We start from the raw sequence: 18,420 nt of genomic DNA on the forward strand, positions 1-18,420 counted from the left end.
GTTTATCCAATGCTTCCCCTGAGTAGAAGATGGCTCCCATGAGGGCCAGGATATTGTTTACCGCGGTGTCCCCAGAGCCCAGAGCAGTACCTGGCAAATGCAGGTGGAGTGAGGGAGCTGCAGGGCCCAAGTTTGGCCTCTAACATTATTTGCCAGACATAAAACTCGGCACACACCTCTTCTGCTCCAAGGCAGAAAATCTACTCTGGAAGTTGGACATTAATGGCTTTCTAGTTTGACTTTTTATGGTCAAAAACTATTCCTTCTACTTGAAAGGGCCAATGAACTGTGGCCTCCATAATTATGCCAGAGCATGCAAGAACTTAAGGGGATAGCTAAAGACAGGTCACAATGGGGTCCTCTGTTCTTCCAGGTGGAGTTATGTACACACAGAACAGGTGCCGCCGACACGTGAACATAATGCACCCATGTCTGGATGAGCACTGGTGTGCACACACCTAGAGAGAGGTACACGTGGAAGGGGGTATCATGCAGATTCTGGAAGGAGCTGAGAGGCAGCCTCTACCCTGCCACTGCTCGCTGAATGACTGTGGCAAGAAGATCCCTCCCTACAACACCTACTTGGCAGTGCTGCTGATGAGCACTGAGATGTGTAATACACAGTACCTGGACCAGCACAGACACTGCATGAACACTGGCCACTGTGTGACACATACACAAACACCCACGTGACAGTGGTCATAGTCCGATGGTAATGATTTGACTACCTTCCAGGCACAGACTGTCAAAAAACACTTGTTTAATAAATATGGCAAAGTTTTGCAGTGCTGTGTGTGGAACTGAATACTGTTCTATAGCCGAAGTAGAAGTGTTCCATGGTTAAATACATTTGGGAACACCACACCCTCCATTTCTCTTGGGAGATTCATATTGCATGGCAGTGCATTAAAGATTGCAACATTCACAAAGATGCAAAAATACTTTTGGTGCCTTTCCTTAATCCAGTTCTGCCATCTGGCATCCTTTTTGGAGTAAAACCTTTTCTATCTCCTACAGAACTAGTAACACATAGGCACATCATTTAGGAAATGCCTATTTGTACACGTATGTACAAAATGTCTATAAATGTGTATGTATTCAGGAAACGTCTAAAAGTATTATATACTGTTTTAGCTTCAAAATCAGAATATTAACCCCGATACATAGGTAATGGTCTAGATCATACAAAAACCTGAAAAATACAGCTTTGATTAGAAGACAGGAAAGATTTTAAAAGGTAGGTTCTTCAATTAAATTAAAATTACAGCAGTCATTTGAATAGGATTCCGTTCCAAGATGGCCGAATAGTAACAGCTCCAGTCTGCAGCTCCCAGTGTGACTGACGCAGAAGACAGGTGATTTCTGCATTTCCAACTGAGGTACCTGGTTCATCTCACTGGGACTGGTTGGACAGTGGGTGCTGCCCATGGAGCAGGGCAGGGCATCGCCTCACCCGGGAAGCACAAGTGGTCCAGGGATTTCCCTTGCCTAGCCAAGGGAAGCTGTGACAGACTGTACCGGGAAAACCGGGACACTGCCACCTAAATACTGTGTCTTTCCAATGGTGGTAGCAAACGGCACACCAGGAGATTATATCCCAGGCATGGCTCAGCAGGTCCCACGCCCATGGAACCTTGCTCACTGCTAGCGCAGCAGTCCGAGATCAAACTGTGAGGCAGCAGCCCTGGCTAGGGGAGGGGTGTCCGCCATTGCTGAGGCTTGAGTAGGTAAACAAAGCGGCCAGGAAGCTCGAACTGGGTGGAGCCCACCGCAGCTCAATGAGGCCCACCTGCCTCTGTAGACTCCACCTCTGTGCACAGGGCATAGCTAAACAAAAGGCAGCAGAAACTTCTGCAGACTTAAACGTCCCTGTCTGACAGCTCTGAAGAGAGCAGTGGTTCTCCCAGCACAGTGTTTGAGCTCTGAGAATGGACAGACTGCCTCCTCAAGTGGGCCCCTGACCCCCGTGTAGCCTAACTGGGAGACACCTCCCACTAGGGACCGACCGACACCTCATACAGCCAGGTGTCCCTCTGAGACGTAGATTCCAGAGGAAGGATCAGGCAGTAATATTTGCTCTTCTGCAATATTTGCTGCTCTGCAGCCTCTACTGGTGATACCCAGGCAAACAGGGTCTGGAGTGGACCTCCTGCAAACTCCAACAGACCTGCAGCTGAGGGACCTGATTGTTAGAAGGAAAACTAACAAACAGAAAGGAATAGCATCAACATCAACAAAATGGACATCCACACCAAAACCCCATCTGTAGGTTACCATCATCAAAGACCAAAGGTAGATAAAACCACAAAGATGGGGAGAAACCAGAGCAGAAAACCTGAAAATTCTAAAAACCAGAGCGCCTCTTCTCCACCAAAGGATCCCAGCTCCTCGCCAGCAACAGAACAAAGCTGGATGGAGAATGACTTTGACAAGTTGGCAGAAGTAGACTTCAGAAGGTCGGTAATAACAAACTTCTCCAAGTTAAAGGAGAATGTTCAAACCCCATCACAAGGAAGCTAAAAATCTTGAAAAAAGATTAGACAAATGGCTAACTAGAATAAACAGTGTAGAGAGTACTTTAAATGACCTGATGGAGCTGAAAACCATGGCACGAGAACTACGTGATGCATGCATAAGCTTCAGTAGCCAATTCAATCAAGTGGAAGAAAGGGTATCAGTGATTGAAGATCAAATTAATGAAATGAAGCAATAAGAGAAGTTTAGAGAAAAAAGAGTAAAAAAACGAACAAAACCTCCAAGAAATATGGGACTATGTGAAAAGACCAAATCTACATTTGATTGGTGTACCTGGAAGTGACAGGGAGAATGGAACCAAGTTCGAAAACACTCTTCAGGATATCATCCAAGAGAACTTCCCCAACCTAGCAAGGCAGGCAAACATTTAAATTCAGGAAATACAGAGAACACCACAAAAATACTCCTTGAGAAGAGCAACCCCAAGACACATAATTATCAGATTCACCAAGGTTGAAATGAAGGAAAAAATATCAAGGGCAGCCAGAGAGAAAGGTCGGGTTATCCACAAAGGGAAGCCCATCAGACTAACAGCGGATCTCTCAGCAGAAATTCTATAAGCCAGAAGAGAGTGGGGGCCAATATTCAACATTCTTAAAAGAATTTTCAACCCAGAATTTCATATCCAGCCAAACTAAGCTTCATAAGTGAAGGAGAAATAAAATCCTTTACACACAAGCAAATACTGAGAGATTCTGTCACTACCAGGCCTGCCTTACAAGAACTCCTGAAGGAAGCACTCAACATGGAAAGGAACAACCGGTACCAGCCACTGCAAAAACATGCCAAATTGTAAAGACCATCGATGCTAGGAAGAAACTGCATCAACTAATGGGAAAAATAATCAGTTAACATCATAATGACTGGATCAAATTCACACATAACAATATTAACCTTAAATGTAAATGGGCTAAATGCCCCAATTAAAAGACATAGACTGGCAAATTGGATGAAGAGTCAAGACCCAGTGTGCTGTATTCAGGAGACCCATCTCACGTGCAGAGACACATATAGGCTCAAAATAAATGGATGGAGGAAGATCTACCAAGCAAATGGAAAGCAAAAAAACAGCAGAGGTTACAATCCTAGTCTCTGATAAAACAGACTTTAAACCAACAAAGATCAAAAGAGACAAAGAAGGCCATTACATAATGGTAAAGGCATCAATTCAACAAGAGCTAATTATCCTAAATATATATGCATCCAATACAGGAGCACCCAGATTCATAAAGCAAGTCCTTAGAGACCTACAAAGAGACTTTGACTCCCACACAATAATAATGGGAGACTTTAACACCCCACTGTCCATATTAGACAGATCAATGACACAGAAGGTTAACAAGGATATCCAGGAAGCAGACCTAATAGACATCTACAGAACTCTCCACTCCAAATCAACAGAACATACATTCTTCTCAGCACCACATCGCACTTATTCCAAAGTTGACCACGTAGTTGGAAGTAAAGCACTCCTCAGCAAATGTAAGAGAACAGAAATCACAACTAACTGTCTGTCAGACCACAGTGCAATCAAACTAGAACTCAGGATTAAGAAACTCACTCAAAACCGCTCAACTACATGGAAACTGAACAACCTGCTCCTGAATGACTACTGGGTAAATAACAAAATAAAGGCAGAAATAAAGATGTTCTTTGAAACCAATGAGAACAAAGACACAACGTACCAGAATCTCTGGGACACATTTAAAGCAGTGTGTAGAGGGAAATTTATAGCACTAAATGCCCACAAGAGAAAGCAGGAAAGATCTAAAATCGACACCCTAACATCATAATTAAAAGAACTAGAGAAGGAAGAGCAAACAAATTAAAAAGCTAGCAGAAGGCAAGAAATAACTAAGATCAGAGCAGCACTGAAGGAAACAGACACACAAAAAAAACCTTCAAAAAAATCAATGAATCCAGCAGCTCATTTTTTGAAAAGATCAACAAAATTGATAGACTGCTAGCAAGACTAAGAAGAGAGAAGAATCAAACAGATGCAATAAAAAATCACCACCAATCCCACAGAAATACAAACTACCATCAGAGAATACTATAAACACCTCTACACAAATAAACTAGAAAATCTAGAAGAAATGAATAAATTCCTCGACACATACACCCTCCCCAGACTAAACCAGGAAGAAGTTGAATCGCTGAATAGACCAACAACAGGCTCTGAAATTGAGGCAATAATTAATAGCCTACCAACCAAAAAAAGTCCAGGACCAGACAGATTCATAGCCAAATTCTACCAGAGGTACAAAGAGGAGCTGGTACCATTCCTTCTGAAACTATTCCAATCAATAGAAAAAGAGGGAATCCTCCCTAACTCATTTTATGAGGCCAGCATCATCCTGATACTAAAGCCTGGCAGAGACACAACCAAAAACAAAGAGAATTTTAGACCAATATCCCTGATGAATATCGATGCAAAAATCCTCAATAAAATACTGGCAAACCAAATCCAGCAGCACATCAAAAAGCTTATCCACCACGATCAAGCCAGCTTTATTCCTGGGATGCAAGGCTGGTTCAACATATGCAAATCAATAAACATACTCCATCACATAAACAGAACCAAATGTCAAAACCACATGATTATCTCAATAGATGCAGAAAAGGCCTTCAACAAAATTCAACAGCCCTTCATGCTAAAAACTCTCAATACACTAGGTATTGATGGAACGCATCTCAAAATAATAAGAGCTATTTATGACAAACCCACAGCCAATATCATACTGAATGGGCAAAAACTGGAAGCATTCCCTTTGAAAACTGGCACAAGACAGGGAAGCCCTCTCTCACCACTCCTATTCAACATACTGTTGGAAGTTCTGGCCAGGGCAACCACGCAAGAGAAAGAAATAAAGGGTATTCAATTAGGAAAAGAGGAAGTCAAATTGTCCCTGTTTGCAGATAACATGATTGTGTATTTAGAAAACCCCATCGTCTCAGCCCAAAATCTCCTTAAGCTGATAAGTAACTTCAGCAAAGTCTCAGGATACAAAATCAATGTGCAAAAATCACAAGCATTCTTATACACCAATAACAGACCAACAGACAGCCAAATCATGAGTGAACTCCCACTCACAATTGCTACAAAGAGAATAAAATACCTAGGAATCCAACTTACAAAAGATGTGAAGGACCTCTTCAAGGAGAACTGCAAATCACTGCTCAATGAAATAAAAGAGGACACAAACAAATGGAAGAACATTCCATGCTCATGGATAGGAAGAATCAGTATCGTGAAAATGGCCATGCTGCCCAAGGTAATTTACAGATTCAATGCCATCCCCATCAAGCTACCAATGACTTTCTTCACAGAATTGGAAAACACTACTTTAAAGTGCATATGGAGCATATGGAACCAAAAAAGAGCCCGCATTGCCAAGACAATCCTAAGCCAAAAGAACAAAGCTGGAGGCATCATGCTACCTGACTTCAAACTATACTACAAGGCTACAGTAACCAAAACAGCATGGTACTGGTACCAAAACAGAGATATAGACCAATGGAATCGAACAGAGGCCTCAGAAACAACACCACACATCTACAACCATCTGATCTTTGACAAACCTGACAAAAACAAGAAATGGGGAAAGGATTCCCTATTTAATAAATGGTACTGGGAAAACTGGCTAGCCATATGTAGAAAGTGAAACTGGATCCCTTCCTTACACCTTATACAAAAATTAATTCAAGATGGATTAAAGACTTAAATGTTAGACCTAAAACCATAAAAACCCTAGAAGAAAACCAAGGCAATACCATTCAGGTCATAGGCATGGGCAAGGACTTCATGACTAAAACACCAAAAGCAATGGCAACAAAAGCCAAAATTGACAAATGGGATCTAATTAAACTAAAGAGCTTCTGCATGGCAAAAGAAACTACCATCAGAGTGAACAGGCAACCTACCGAATGGGAGAAAATTTTTATAATCTACCCATCTGACAAAAGGCTAATATCCAGCATCTACAAAGAACTCAAACAAATTTACAAGAAAAAATCAAACTACCCCATCAAAAAGTGGGCAAAGGATATGAACAGACACTTTTCAAAAGAAGACATTTATGCAGCCAACAGACACATGAAAAAATGCTCATCATCACTGGTTTTGCAAATCAAAATCACAATGAGATACCATCTCACACCAGTTAGAATGGCAATCATTAAAAAGTCAGGAAACAACAGGTGCTGGAGAGGATGTAAAGAAACAGGAAGGCTTTTACACTGTTGGTGGGGCTGTAAACTAGTTCGACCATTGTGGAAGATAGTGTGGCGATTCCTCAGGGATCTAGAACTAGAAATACCATTTGACCCAGCCATCCCATTACTGGGTATATACCCAAAGCATTATAAATCATGCTACTATAAAGACACATGCACACATATGTTTATTGCGGCACTATTCACAATAGCAAAGACTTGGAATCAACCCAAATGTCCATCAATGATAGACTGGATTAAGAAAATGTGGTACATATATACCACTGAATACTATGCAGCCATAAAAAAGGATGAGTTTCATGTCCTTCGTAGGGACATGAAGCTGGAAACCATCATTCCGAGCAAACTATCTCAAGGACAGAAAACCAAACACCGCATGTTCTCACTCATAGGTGGGAACTGAACAATGAGAACACTTGGACACAGGGTGGGGAACATCACACACTGGGGCCTGTGGTGGGTTGGGGGCAGTGGGGGAGGGATAGCATTAGGAGATATACCTAATGTAAATGACGAGTTAATGGGTTCAGCAAACCAGCGTGACACATGGATACCTATGTAACAAACCTGCACATTGTGCACATGTACCCTAGAACTTAAAGTATAATTTAAAAAGAAAGAAAGAAAACATGAATATAATACATAAACATATGGGGACCTTGCCAGAGAAATAAAAATTATTATTATTATTATTTTTTTTTTTTTTTTGAGACTAGTCTTGCTCTTTTACCCAAGCTGGACTGCAGTGGTGATATCTCGGCTCACTGCAAGTTCCACCTCCCAGGTTCACCCCATTCTCCTGCCTCAGCCTCCCGAGTAGCTGGGACTACAGGCGCCTGCCACTGCGCCCAGCTAATTTTTTGTATTTTTAGTAGAGATGGGGTTTCACCATGTCAGCCAAGATGGTCTCAATCTCCGGACCTCGTGATCCGACCACCTCAGCCTCTCAAAGTGCTGGTATTACAGGCGTGAGCCACCGTGCCCGGCCAAAAATTATTTTTAAAATTAAAAAAAAAAAAAGTTGTAGCAGTCATTCAAACATCATTGAGATATAAATGTATCTAAACTATGCTGCCCAACATAAACATGATCCAAGTCGTAAGCAGAAGCCATATATATAATTTCAAATGTTCTCATAGATGCATTTTGAAAAGTTTTTTTTAAAAAGTTTATTTAGAGATGTGTTTTATTAACCCAATATGTCCAAACATTATCATTTAAAATGTAATCAATACAATAATATTTTTGAGATATTTTATATTCTTTTTTTGTACTAGGTCTTTGAATCCTGGTGTGTATTTGATAATTAGAGCACATCTCAATAGCCACATATTACGTGCTCAATAGCCAGGCCCGCTAGTGACTAGTGGCTGCTGTATGGGACAGCACAGATCTAAACCTTGAAGTCCACTCAACACCTTTTCTAAAGACAAAACACATGGTTTTTATCCAGCATTTAAATGATTAATTATGGCTTTAAAGCAGAAGGCAAGTTCTAGTGCATTAACACAACTGATTCTGTATTTGAGGGTTTTTTCCTGATTTATTTCCAAGCCATGGCTCTAGCAACGTTGTATTAGAAGCTTTGATATGAAATTTTAAATATAATGTTTCATCTCTTCTGACTCACACTTTTTGAGACTTATATACCAAAAGTTATATAAAATCATTTTTTACTGTAGAACTACAGGTGAAATGCAAATCAGCAGGTTCAAGAATCCTACACTCAGAGACCACTAGGCATGACTGCCCTAGCCCATGACCCTGAACTCTGCCTGCCTGCCTGCTTGTCCACAAAACAGGAAAGACCATCTCTGCATCATCCCTAGTGCTTAGCATAGCACCCAGCTCACAGAAGGCATTCAATCAGAATTTGATGAGCACTAAACACCTGGACCTGAGTCAGAACTGAAACACCTAAATGCATCAATGAATTCCCTATGAGGAACTAATGTTCCCACTCCTCCAAACCCTACTACTCACTCAGGTGCTATTTCCCGTTTCCAATGTGCTCTCCCCACCGTAAATTATTCCTGGAACAGGCCTGTGCTCACAGTAGCCTGTGTGCCTTGACTATTCTTATTTCTCCAAGAGCCTCATCGTTCTTAAATCTAACATAAGCCTTTTACATTTTGGTGTTTCCAAGATGAGTTCAACTAAAGATGAACAAAAATAGAGGAGAGGATAGAACTGTTATAATTTCTCTGCTTTATCATCAACAAATGGTAAGAGTTTTAAAGTTACCTTTGGGTTGTTTCTTCATCTTGATATGCGTCCTTTTAAATCTTAATGAAATATCATGGAATACTGGAGGGTAAAAACATAAACACAAGAGGATTAGGTGTGTGGCTTTAATAAGCCTTTGCAAATATCACAAAGCAATGTATACTAGCCTCAACAGCCAGCACATATTGACCAAAGATAAATGGTAAGCTCTGATTTCATTCATTTTAGTAACCTTCTTAGGAGATTTGTTTTCACACTTCATATATTTGTAAGAATGTAATAAGAGAGAAACACAAAGATACCTATAGAGATACATTGTCACACAGACTTTAACAAATGTAATCCTGCAAATTAAAAAAAAAAAAATAGATTATCACTCACTTGTATGGTCTTCATATCGTTCTATATAATGCAAATGGTGAACTGCTCTGTTCTTTGCCTGAAAGGAAAATGTTTTTCTTAACTCTATTGTTGAAATTTACATCTTTTCAAGGATTCCAAAAACACTTTTAATAAAAATGTTTCATTATCAAAAATTCACTTACGCAAAAAGGTTAGTATATACTTCTAAAATATAAGGACTTATTTTTTAAAACTCTTAACTACAATATCACTATCACCCCTAAAAAAATTAACAATAATTCCTGGCTAGGCATGGTGGCTCACATCTACAATCCCAGCACTTTGGGAGGCCGAGGCAGGCCAATCACTTGAGATCAGGAGTTCGAGACCAGTCTGACCAACATGGAGAAACCACATCTCTACCAAAAATACAAAAGTTAGCCGGGTGTGGTGGTGGGCACCTGTAATCCCAGCTACTTGGGAGGCGGAGGCAGGAGAATCACTTGAATTCAGGAGGCGGAGGTTGCAGTGAGCCGAGATCGTGCCACTGCACTCCAGCCTGGGTGACAAGAGTGAGACAACGTCTCAAAAAAAAAAAAAAAAAGTAACAATTCCTTAGTATCTTCAAACATTCTGTCAGTGTTCAAACTTCCACAATTGTCTCATAACTTGGCTAGACAATTACAAATCTGATAAAAAATGGTGCAAAGGAATATAAGTACTTCTGAAACTGATTTTTATGAGCTAATTAACCCTTGACAGCAAGCCTCATGGGAAGGTTCTGGGACAAATTATTATTGTTTTGTGGTTCCCACTGTGTCTGGCATATAACTTACTAATCTTTTACTGAGTGTCAACAAAGAAAAAAAATGTACATACTTTCCTGAAAGCATCCATCCGATCAGTAGCTTTCCCAATAGAAAAACCTTTAAACAAAAAAGCAAAAATAAGAAAAGAGACAGAAATTTTGCCCATGTGGTTTTTGCCACATTTCAAGTTTCTGCTCCTACAATATTTCACAGCACTTCATCTTTCCACCACCCACAAAAGACTTGCTATACAAAACCATTAATAGGCTGGGTGTAATGATTCACATCCGTAATCTCAGCACTTTAGGAGGCTGAGGTGGGAGGATCGCTTGAGCCCAGGAGTTTGAGACCAGCCTGAACAACACAGCAAGACTCTGTCTCTATTAAGAACAAAATTTAAAAAATTAGCCAGGCATGCTGGTGCATGACTGTGGTCCCAACTACTCAGGAGGCTGAGATGGGAGGATTACTTGAGTTTAGGAGTTTGAGGGTACAGTGAGCTATGACTGTGCCACTGCACTCCAGATAGAGCAAGACCCTGTCTCAAAACAAAAAAAAAAAACCTAACAATAACAAAGCACGAGGCTACAGAGATCTGTTTTGAAGCATTCTGGAAATAACAAATTTAGATGTATTTATAAAATCCAAGGTTAGATGCTGCCTTTTAAAAATATCTAGATAAAATACACTCAATTTAAAAAAAACTAAATATGCTTTAAATGAATTAGGCAAATCACTTTGAACATTTAAAGATAGATTAAAATAATCAGAAAGGGGCCAGGTGCAGTGGCTCACGCCTATAATCCCAGCACTTTGGGAGGCCAAGATGGACAGATTGCTTGAGCTCGAGTTCAAGATGAGCCCGGGCAACATAGTGAGAATCCATCTCTACAAAAAATATAAAAATTAGCCAGGCATAGTGGTAGGTGCCTGTAATCCTTGCTACTCAAGAGGCTGAGGTGGCAGGATCACTTGAGCTCAGAGAGTTGAGACTGCAGTAAGCCTTGATGGTGCAACTACACTCCATCCCAGGTGACAGAGCAAGACCCTGTCTCAGGAAGGAAAAAAATATCAGAAAGGTTGGGAAAAAACATCCACTGCTATAGAGTAAAACCATGATTTCAATGGAACTTCAAATGGAATTCAGATTTTAATTAGCCAGGAAACCAAATCAATGACTCTTTAGTTTATGAACACTTCACTATGAAATACAGTTTACCAGCAGTTACAGAGATACTGCCATTATCTGCTGCCACTGTATTTTGTTTTGAACAACGTATTTTGTTTTTAAATTATACATGGGAAAATAACATAAAACAATACTGCTCTATAAGATACAAGGGACCTCTGAGACCTGGGACAAAAGAGGATGTGAATGCCAATTCCTAGTTTAAACAAAACAAATTAAACCATGGAAGTCCTAGAGGAAAATATGGGGAAACTTACTAACATTTACAATCTTCAAATGAGGCTTTCTAAGCAAGACACAAACCCGAAGTGATAACTAATATTTATAACCCTGTAGTGATATAAGACTGATAAATTTGCCACAGAGCTTAAAACTTCTGTGTGGAAAAAAATTAAAACCTAAGTCAAAATATCTGACTAAGGGCTAATGTCCTTAACTTACAAAGAGCTTATACCATTCAATAAGAAAAATAATAACCACCCAACAGAAAAACGGGCAAAGCATATAACGAACAGATCTCAAAAAGGAAATAACAACAGCCAATAAACATGTAAAATGGTGTTCAAGCTCTCATAATTTAAAAAATGCAAATCAAAACTGAGAGATTTGTTTCACAGATCATACTGACAATCAGTAAGGTCTGATGAAACCCGAAGTTGGCAAGGGTGAGATGGTGTAGAGAAACACAGACATTGATGCAACCTTTTGTGGGGAGGCAATCTAGGAATATTTATCAGCACTTAAAATACATATAACCTTGGGGCAGCAATTTTACTGCAAGAAGTTTCCCCTATTGATATACTTGCAGAAGTAAAACAAATTACACATAAACGAACTGTACAGTTTTTTATAATTAGTAAAAATTTGGAAACAACTTAAATATTCAGCAGTAGGGAAAAGGTTACAAAAATTATCCATGCACAATGGAACACTTTGCAACCAGTACAACGAATCAAGGAGAATGTTTATGTTAATCTGAGTATTAATATCTCTGAATATAATACTATGTCAGAAAATCAAGGTGCAAAATTATGGCTATAATGTGATCCCTTTATGTAAATTTTTTAAAGATGTATGATAATAATATGAACATAAAATTTAGGAAAATTACAAAAGTAGCTGTTAGGCCTGGTTTCCTTTGGCCACATACTATATATATATGTATTACTTTTGTTAAATGTCAGTATGGGCTAACTAGGCCATTTTCCTGTGTTCTTTTCCTTCAACAGACATGAATACATTTCAAAAACAGGTGTCCACTATGTTAACTATACATAGGAGAAAATTTAAATCATCAGCAAACCTACTAATTGGAGTAAACACTATTAACCTTTACAGTGTACAGTTTTCCAGTCTTTTCTTGGCACATAAATATACTTTTAAAAAAGAAAAAAACAAAACTAGGATTTTATATGGTCTTATATAACGTTTTTGTGTTTTTTTTTTTAACTTAGCATTATTTTAAAACTAATTTCCCATAATTCTTTAATGGATACAGAATATTACAGTGTATGGCTACACTGTTTTTATAACCATGGCCCTATTGAACATTTAGTTTTTCTCCCTAATTTTCCACTATTATACATAATAAAATAATGTCTTCAGCCTTTTATAATATTCCTTTTCCTCAGAGGAAAAGGCAAGTACAGTAGAATCTATTCTCTCTTTTCTCTCTAAGGGAAGTCATGGACTTACCACAAGCTTTGTGAACCCAAACCACTAAAAGGTTTAATCAATGGAAAAAGTCCGGCCAGCAGCATGAGCCCATGGGCTCCACAGCATGGCCCGTGCCACGCCTTTCCCTGCACACCACCGCCACTGTGATGCCATCACTCCCCATTCACCTGCAGCTCCTTTTCCGTTCCCCACAGCCACCAAGACACGGATCGATTTCTTTCTTCCCTCTTTCGCAGTCATAGTGAAAACGTTTCTTACCTAAAAGGCAAAATGTCTCATAAATATTGCACATTAAGAAAATCTGAAGGAGGGAACTGGAGGGAGCCGCCTTCCTTGCAGGCATACACGGTGAACAGGCACACACAGAGAACAGGCACACCATCCTCCAACTCCTGAGCACAAGTAACAGCCTTTTTCCAAACAAAACCTCCTCCTGGACTGTTTCAGGGAGAAAACAGAAATGAGACTTTCTCTTCATTTCACAGGCTTATGATAACTGAGAAAACCTTTAAAGGAATTTGACATTATACATCTCGATATACCCTATCTTAATGAATGTATTACAAGAAAGAAAAAAGTTGCTGATCAAACTTTGATGTAATTTATCACTGATTATAAGATGTAGCCCAATGTCAGAGATGTTAAAATGTGAGGAAAATGTACACCTCAGAAATTATGATATGCAGTATATAGACATAACCAGCACAGGACTGGCCTCTACGCTAAGGATTAACATATTTGGAAATACCTGCTTATTCTGTGTATTTTTTTCTGTGTATTTAAAAGGCCAGGAACAGCCGGGCACAGTGGCTCATGCCTGTAATCCCAGCACTTCGGGAGGCCGACGCAGACGGATCACGAGGTCAGGAGATCCGAGATCATCCTGGCTAACACAGTGAAACCCCGTCTCAACTAAAAATACAAAAAATTAGCCGGGTGTGGTGGCAGGCACCTGTAGTCCCAGCTACTCGGGAGGCTGAGGCAGGAGAATGGCGTCAACCCGGGAGGTGGAGCTTGCAGTGAGCCGATACCACTGTACTCCAGACTGGCAACACAGCAAGACTCCACCTCAGAAAAAAAAAAAAGGCCAGGAACTATTAAACTGTTAACTAAACTGCTTACGTGGCAGCTGGCTCTCTGGTGCATAGCTGTCTCTTCCCCATAAAATGGGGTTAAAAGAAAAGGGAGCTTGAATCCACCTCTGTGGATCTTATAGAAAATCACCCACATATATACAAATTCTTCAAAGAGATTAACTTCTAAAAGCTGTAAGTGGGAATACCAAAGACATAATATGTGTAAACATTTTAAATCCTACAGTGCAATTGATATTGAGGAAACAATACATACATTCAGAGGCTCAATCACAAACTCAATAAATGGTTATTCCACATGGTATTTAACACTGAGCATTCAGTGCCAGCTCAAAGGGAAGTTGGCTATTTTAGAGAATGCTCCGCAAAGTGACTATAGTTTACCTGATACAGACTTTAGTTTCAAGGGCCTGTGAGCAACCCAGAGACCATTTCCCCATCAAGAACCAGACAGGCACCACAACTCTTAAGCTTTCTACCCTGCCCAGGGCTCCCTGCAATCCCAGATCCCTGCATAGACTGCTAGATACAGCTGGTTTATAATTCAAACATAGACTCCCAATGCTACTTTAGGAAGGAGATAATTTAAATCTCATCTCCAAATCCTGTAGTTAACAATACCACCTTATGAGACCTCAGTGGTAGCTCCCCGCCCCACAGAGAGGGTAGTAGTCAGAAGAGCCAGTATCCAGTAACTGAAATTAAAGTTGCACAATTTTCCTTACGCAGATCAGCTGTGTGTCAGAAATAGTCATGCATCCAAGGCCTTCCCTTACAGTTCCTCTTGCCCTGTCCCTGCCCCACCCACCCCAACCTCTCCAAAGGCTTAACCAGGTATTTAATTCTGCATGCCTACCTCAAGTATCCTGGTATCAAAATCCTCATATGTTTCTGTAGGGAGAAAAGAAACAGGGATACAGATGAAATGTGTGTACACAATTAACATGAAAGCATTTTCAACACAGGCACCATCACAGACCTTTCGGGGAGAAAGAATCTCAGATCTTTTGGTCCCACTCTCAAGGCCATGCCCCAGTCACCCCTCATCACTAGAGACTGCTCCACCAGTTAAGTTCATAAACTCAGTCACTGATCTCCCCACCTGCACCCTCCTCCCCATCCATCTCTCATCAGCTCCTGGCCCCTCCAGACCCTGGATCCCTGCTCTCCCTTCTGCTTCCCTCCCTCTCACGGCCTCTCCCCCTAGGCCAAGACACCACAGTCCATCATTTCCACGAAACTTTGTGATGCCCTCAACCCCTTCACCCTTTGCTCTCTCCACCATACTAGCCAGGCCTGAATCCATGCAGCTCTCTGGCCACTCCTGACCTGCTGGGTGCTGCTGGAAAGAAGTCAAAGTATGCATACACAGGGCCCACTAAAAATCCATGAGCCCCAATTCCGTCAAGTCCTCCCTGCTGCCAGCTGGCCTTTATGTCCTTTCGGTTAGGTCTCTCTCAGTTCACCACTGCAGCCATTTCAAAGACTCCCTACGTTCTTTTATTTTCAAAATATTTTTATCACAGACAATTTCAATCAAACAAAAATAGAACAGCAGAAAGCTTATGTATACATTAGTCAGCTTCAACACGCATCAACTTACAGCCAATCTTTCCTCTAAACTCTGCTCAACTCTCACTACATTGGATAATTTGAAGCCAGTTTCAGATACTCTACCTTTTCGTAAAGAAATAATCTGGAGGCCATAATCATCAATGTCCCCATCTCACTCTCCGCAGATGATTCCACCTCTTCCTTACAGACCAACTGCGGCCACATCACACAACACCCCCACCTACCTTTCCACTACAACCCCACAGGCTCACCTGATTCTGTGCCCTGCCCTTCCTTCTGTGAGCAAGTGAAGCCACTTCACACTCTGAATCTGGGCTGTCATTAGGGACTTGGTTCATGGATTTTGTTCTCTCCCTTCCATACCTTCATCCTCCTGACTGAAGCATTTTGATCAGTTCTAAGCATGTTCTTTGGAATCTCTCCCCTCCAGTTTCAACCTCTTCCCTCCTCTTTAAGCCAAACTTCTTAAGAAAGCAGCGAAACTCTTACCTATTTCCTCTTCTCCCACTCATTGACAAGAACACATCTCTTGGATGATTTTTACTGCTTTACATACTCACGGAGGGCTGGGGGAAACTTTGTTTTCAAATTTGGCCTAAGTATTTTCAATTTTTGCTTCATTTGTGTTTTTATAGGGTTAACATGACAACTATCTGCTTTGCTGATTTCTAGTACAGAAACAGCATTCCCAAGCCATGCTGCTCCACAGGTGTCCCTGTGGCCACCTGTGTTTTGGAAACAGTGTATCCTATAGGCAGCTCCTGTAGGTCCACAGTGCACATCCCCACGTTTAAGGATCTGAGAAGGTACATGATAAATACCAGGAACCCAGTGCTTTCTATCCTGTTAGTGGAATACTTCTGCACTCCACAAAATACAGTTGGGATATTGATGTGATATGTTATTTCAAAGATGTTCAAATCTTTTTTGGAAAAAGGTAGTATAAACAGACAAGTAATAACACCATTTCAAGGAAATTCTAAACTACAAGTACTCTCTGTCACAAAGGCAAACAAAACCAGGAGTTTGCTACCTCCACAGGGACCAGGGTCAGGGGGGCCAAGACTGATGCCTCCCCATGAGTTTCCACTCCATCCTCGCTCCCGTTTAACCTTCATCTTCTTCTTTCGGTCCCACTCTTCTCTCTGCTGGATCATGTCTGCCTCCACCTTCTCCTGCTCTTCCTTGCTTCTTTGGGCAATGGTCTGCACTGCTCCATTTTTCATAAGAGGGACATTCAGTCCGGGCCATAGAAAACCATAACGCCCTGAAGGTTTAAAAATATAAATAATAATTTTGTTAAAGTACTCATTTTTCAAGTGTTAAAATGTCAGGCAATGCATGTACAGATAATGATGACACACTGTTCACTGGAGCTTAAGCTAACATTATTAACTTGGTAGGTCACTTGGCACAATCAAAATTTTAAATATACTTCATGGTATTACCTAGAGAAACACTCACATACAGGTACAAGGCATATGGATGCTTGGACAAGGACGTCCACTGAAACATTATTTGCAAAGGCAAGAAATGCAACTAATACAAATGTCCAGCAATTATGGACTGGTTAAATGAACCACAGCGTCTCCAGCATAGGAAACACTCTGCACTAAATCAAAAGAACAAGGTAACTCTCTAGGTTCTGATGTGGAATGATTTCCAAGACCTATTATTGAGTGAAAAAAGTAAACTGTAAGACAGCATGTACCATGTGATATAATCTAAATTTTTTTTAAAAAAGAAGATATCTATTTCTTTTTAGCTATTTATATATAAATTAATAACAATTTAATACATAATACCTTTTGTATTCATCTTTTTAGGTATTTATGTATAAATACCTAAAATTTAATACATAAATACCTTTTTAGGCATTTATGTATTAAAAAACTGAAGGAAACACACCAATATGAGGCCAGTGGTTTCCTTGAGGGAGACAATAGGATTGAAGAAGGTAGAAGAAGCATCCAGGGGGACTTCAAGTTTCTCTATAATCTACATTTTTTACTGAGAAAGTATAAATACATGATTCTTATAATTTAAAAAAAAAGTGTTAAAAAAATAAGATATAAGTAATAAAGAAAAATATCCAAGTAGACATGCGATGCTGGAAGTGTGGTGCCAGGTGTTTTCTTTATCCCTGAAGGCCATTACTATCAAAGATGGTTTGTCAGCAAGCACAGTACAAGACGGGCTGATTGAAGTACACTACACTATTTTTACTCTTCCAAAAGCATGAGTATAAACAATCACGTGTTCTGGGTGTCAACAAACTAAGGCCCACAGGCCAACTCAGTTCGTGACTTGTTTTTGTAAATGAAATTGTACTGGAACATAACGATGCCTATTCGACTGTGTGTTATCTGTGGCTGTTTCTGTGCTACAACAGTAGAGTTGAGCAGTTGCAAAACAGACTATGTAACTCACAATGCCAGAAACATTTACTATCTTCCCTTTGCAGGGAATATTCGCCAACTCTCCATTTAGTCTCTATTTTATCACTAATTATAACCTATTTGAGGGCAGGCACTATTATAGGAGATGACACCTAGGGACATTTAATGCTTGCTGAATGAATAAATCCATTTCTATGGGATTTTCCTCCCCCAGAATCCTGGGGCAATGAGTAAGTCAACTGGTTGAATTCTAAAACCATAGATCGTAGTGCCCTTCATAAGAAATGTTTTGATGCTTCTAGTTTGTAAAATATCTATAAAATCTGGGGTAAGAAACT

General features: G+C 40.2%; 1 protein-coding gene across 6 annotated transcripts in view; it reads right to left on the minus strand.

Annotated features, from left to right (window-relative positions):
• Positions 1-18,420, minus strand: part of MRPS5 (mitochondrial ribosomal protein S5) — a 36,635-nt gene that overhangs the window by 6,090 nt on the left and 12,125 nt on the right. For 2 of the 6 annotated variants that reach the window (NM_001321997.2, NM_001321996.2), the window contains exons 5-10: positions 16,796-16,950; positions 14,965-14,999; positions 13,182-13,272; positions 10,219-10,265; positions 9,379-9,436; positions 9,016-9,078 (exon numbers count right to left, since the gene is read on the minus strand). In NM_001321997.2, the coding sequence (NP_001308926.1) occupies positions 9,016-9,078; positions 9,379-9,436; positions 10,219-10,265; positions 13,182-13,272; positions 14,965-14,999; positions 16,796-16,934 (433 nt within the window). In that variant the 5' untranslated portion in view covers positions 16,935-16,950. Of the gene's footprint in view, positions 1-9,015; positions 9,079-9,378; positions 9,437-10,218; positions 10,266-13,181; positions 13,273-14,964; positions 15,000-16,716; positions 16,951-18,420 lie in introns of all 6 variants that reach the window. The other 4 variants (NM_001321995.2, NM_031902.5, NR_136152.2 and 1 more) reach the window with 3 other exon arrangements.

Source organism: Homo sapiens, chromosome 2 (genome assembly GCF_000001405.40).
Source record: "Homo sapiens chromosome 2, GRCh38.p14 Primary Assembly".
NCBI classification, from domain to species: domain Eukaryota; kingdom Metazoa; phylum Chordata; class Mammalia; order Primates; family Hominidae; genus Homo; species Homo sapiens.